The sequence below is a fragment of the Homo sapiens genome, chromosome 5, assembly GCF_000001405.40.
Source record: "Homo sapiens chromosome 5, GRCh38.p14 Primary Assembly".
Lineage (NCBI taxonomy): Eukaryota > Metazoa > Chordata > Mammalia > Primates > Hominidae > Homo > Homo sapiens.
Window position 1 is genome coordinate 63,883,236 of NC_000005.10, and position 4,432 is coordinate 63,887,667.

The 4,432-nt window shown below is 38.2% G+C and overlaps 1 long non-coding RNA gene across 1 annotated transcript; it reads right to left on the bottom strand.

Moving 5' to 3' along the window:
* Window positions 1–284: 284 nt before the first annotated feature.
* On the bottom strand, window positions 285–4,182 carry LOC105378999 (uncharacterized). The gene is made up of 3 exons (XR_948375.2): window positions 4,142–4,182; window positions 2,846–3,001; window positions 285–359 (listed from the first exon to the last, which is right to left on the bottom strand). It is a non-coding gene; the product is annotated as an uncharacterized LOC105378999 (long non-coding RNA).
* Window positions 4,183–4,432: the final 250 nt, after the last annotated feature.

A 4,432-nucleotide genomic window follows, 5' to 3' on the forward strand; every position in this document is an offset into this window, starting at 1 on the left:
TTTTAGGGTTATTAATTGGTCTGATCTCAATATTGTGTGTCTCAGGGAATAAAGAGCCCAAGGAGGGGAAAAAGATGATGAAACAAGGCATCAGTGGAGCTGTCAGAACACACACAGGATTTATCAATTAAGTTTTCCATCTTATATGGGCGCAGTTTGTGGTGCCCCCAAACAATTACAATAGTAACTTCAAATATCATTGATCACAGATCACCAGAACAGGCCTAATATTAATGAAAATGTTTTAAATATTGAGAGAATTACCAAAAATGTGATACAGAGACATTGAGCACATGCTGTTGAAAAAATGGCAGCAATAGACTTGCTTGCTTAAAGCAGAGTTGCCAGAAACCTTCAACCTGTAAAAAACAAACAAACAAAAACACAATATCTGCAAAACACAATTAAAGGAAAGCACAACAGAACAATATCTGCAAAGCACAATAAAGGAAAACACAATAAAACAAGGTATGCCTGTGTATTGTTAAATGTGTTAAATCCTGTAATGAGTCTGTACGCCTAGACGTAGATGAATCAGCCTCCTAAGAACCTTAACTTAAATTTAACGACCATGAACAGGTAGCCTCTGTAGCAATTTGAATCAGCACCAATGGCTAACCACCTTTGGTCTAGACATTAGCAGCCATCATCCACCTTGAAGGATTAGATGGTGGTCATCGGGGCAGGTACGGGGATGAGCTAAAGTTCTTATCTTCTGCAGGAAACCAGAGAAGGCTTAGGAAGCAATTACCTTGTGATTATTGAAACTTGCTCCCAATTCTGTGTATAGTAAGTCTTCTACCTAAGTTTCAATGGTTTTTTTGTCCTTTGTTTTCTCATTAACTTTACAATAATCAGACTACATGTTTTATGCAATTAATATTTTGGGCCCCATTTTGAGGATTATGTGGAGATTTAACTGTATCATGCTAGAAAGACTAGACCACTGAATTGAAGTACACTCTGTGCCTATGGTCACTAAGTAAACTTAACCATATGATTGTTACACTAGCCTTCCCATTGGCCTGTCTGCATCTGCTCTTGCCTCTCATTTTATTCTTAACAGAGCATTCAGCGTAATGCTATTAAAATATAAATTCGATTTAATCTGCTTAAAACTCTCTAAAGGCATCTCATCTCACTCACACAATGATAATCACATAGTACCTGTAAGGTCTTCTGTGATGGTCACCTCCACCCCATCTCTGGGAACTTATTTCTTTTTTTTTTTTTTTTAGACACAGTCTCCCTCTGTTGCCCAGGTTAGAGTGCAGTGGCATGATCTCAACTCACTGCAACTTCTGCCCCCTGGATTCGAGTGATTCTCCTGCCTCAGCCTCCTCAGTAGCTGGGACTACAGGTGCCCACGACCATGCCTGGCTAACTTTTTGTATTTTTAGTAGAGACAGGGTTTCACCATGTTGCCTAGGCTGGTTTTGAACTCCTGAGCTCAGGCAATCCACCCACCTTGGCCTCCCAAAGTGCTGGGATTACAGGTGTGAGCCACCATGCCCGGTGGGGCCTTATTTCTTATTATTCTCTTCTTCATCACTTTGTAAACCCATGCTGGAATTCTCTGACCATGCCAGGCTGTCTCTGGCCTCAGGCTTGGGTATTTCCTTTTTCTTTTGCTTTAAATGCTTTCCCCCAGACATTTTATGAACAAGGCTCTCACTTCCTTTAGGGTTTATTCAAAAATATCTTGTCAGGGCAAACTTATCTGACTCACCTTCTATCAAAATTTTGACATTATACCCAACACAGCACATATCTTTCACATCCTGTTTTTTTTTCTCCTTAGCGCTTACCACCAGTGTATTATATATTTTATTTGTTTATATTGTTTACTCTTTGTCTTCCTCAGTATAAAATGTTTGAGAATATAGATTTGTGTCCATTTTGTTGAATGCTGTGTCCCTAGCTCATAGAAGAGTCCCTGGCACACAGTAGGCACTAAGTAAATATTTGTAGAATGAATGTATAGATGGGGAAATGCTCTACTCACTGGTGTGGTAGCCAAATCAGAAACACTGGCATCACTGGGAACTTGTTAGAAATGCAAACTGTTAAGCCTCACCTAGACCTACTGAATCAGAAACTCTGGGAGTGGCACCCAAAAATCAGTGTTTAAACAAGCCATTCAGGTGATCTGGATGAATATTAAAATTTAAGAACCATTGCTCTAGATTTCTGCCTCATCTGTGCTGCCTTTGGCACTGGATACACACACGGCCTCTCTTCAAATGAAGTAAGGCTGATGGCTTTTTCAATAGCTAGATATTTACCTGTATATTTGAACTATTTTTCTAATAATCAGTTTCTTGAGAACCAAATCAGTTGTTTTACTTTTATTTATAAAAGATGGAATGTATCTATTACTTTAGGATTCAACCAACTCAATAAAGTAATATATCTATAAAGAAAATGGAACAAACTCAGATGTCATTTGTAAGTGGTGAATCCTCAAGTTACCTACAACTTTCATCTGACTTGGCTACAAATCAGAGGTTTCCATGATGCCCTCCTTGGGTTTGAAAATTTGCTAAAATGTCTCACAGAATTCAGGAAGACACTTACTTACAGTTTCTGGGTTATTATAAAATGAAGGCTACGATGAAGGATACAGATGAACAGCCAGATGAAGAGGTACATAGAGTGAGGCTGAGAGGAGTCCCAGCCACAAGAGCTTTGTCCTGTGGAGTGGGTTGAGGTACGCTATCTTCTGAGCACATAGCGGTGTTCATCAACCCAGAAGCTCTCTGAACTCTGTCATTTTGAATATGTATGGAGACTTCATTACATAGGAATGATTAATTAAATTATTGGCCATTGGTGATCAACTTACCCTTCAACCCCTCCTCCCTGGAGGTCAGGGAGTGGTGCTGAAAGTTGCAAGCCTCTGATCATATAGTTGGTTCTTTTGGCAACTAGTCCCAATCCCAAGGCTATCCAGGAGCCCACAGTCATCAGGCAGCTCATCAGCACACAAAAAGACATTCCTCTGGAAATCCCAAGGGTTTTAAGAGTTATATGCCAGGAAAGAGGAGGACCAAATATATATTTATTGTTATAAATCACAATATCACAATTATATTTCAAAGAGATAGTTCCCAGGTCCCTGAGAAAGACACTCCTGGTTTGTAACAGTAGTAAGAGGATTATTGAGCTTTTGAAAGATTTACCTACATTTCAAAAAGATAGGGAAGAACTTACAAGTTTTCTAAAGTAAATGCTTGAAGAAAAGGAAGAAGTTTCTTCCCTAGTTTTCAACAGAAAGAATTAGACCTCTTATGTTTAATTTGCATTTGCTTTTACATGTGCAAGTATATCTGTGACCATTTCAAAAATCTCAGGTTTGAACAATATTAAATATATTACAGGAGATTTTATTAAGGCTATAAACTTAAAGTGTGTTTTCAAAAAAATCCTTTATCCCTGATAAATGAAAATAATATTTAATTCTATCAATCTCTGTAGTTAACAATAGTAATGGTGATGACAATGATGATGATGATGACTGCTGGTGTTTTTGATCTCTGTGTTAAGTGCTAGGCACAGTGTGATGTACTTTACATGTTTTCATTCTATAAGGTAGGACCTATTATTGTATTTACTCTATAGATGTATAATATTAGGAAATGTGCACAGAAAGAAGTAAGTTACTTGCCCTAAATCAACAAGTGGTTAAGTGTAACACTGAGGTAGTTTAAACTCCAGAGTCCATGCTTTTAACCCAAGTTCTGCTTCTTCTCACAGAATGTATGTGTCTTAACAGTAATAGAGATAATGGAGGTCATTGATTTTTAATAACGGCTCATGAGAACTTGGTTTGATCACCAATGGATAACAACAGTAGCAAAAACCTGATGATCTGGTGTAAAAAGTAAAGTAGAGATTCCTCTTCAAAGACTTTCCTCCCCATCTAATTAGGAATAAATAGTAACTTCTCTTAGAAGCAAATGTATTCAAAGACCTATGCTAACATTCTTAAATATCTGCTAGCCATAATAAAGAAATCAAGGTACTTTATGTTCTTAGCTCCCACAATTTAGCCTAAATATTTGAACTGGCATGCTTATACTGGTCCAAGCAAGCATTAGGTCATAACCTGTTTCTCTTCCTTATTTGCAGGTGTTTTTACCTTTCTGAGCATTCCACAAGTTACTTCTTCCTTCCTTTGTTCTCCTCTGCCTTTGCCTCTTTTAAAAAGTTCTAAGTTGCTAGCCAACTGGGACAAATACAGAATGTGAAGTCCCATTCCAGCCAATGGAAACCGGACACAGCAGTAGGGTGTACGCGTCAGGTTATGAATGACCCTGTCTCCTTTGTTTGGTGTACTCTCGTGGCAAAACTGCTGACGAGTGTACCCTTTCTGCAGAAAGTAGAAATGACCTTGCTGAGGAAATTAAATTTATGTTCAAGTGCTATTTCT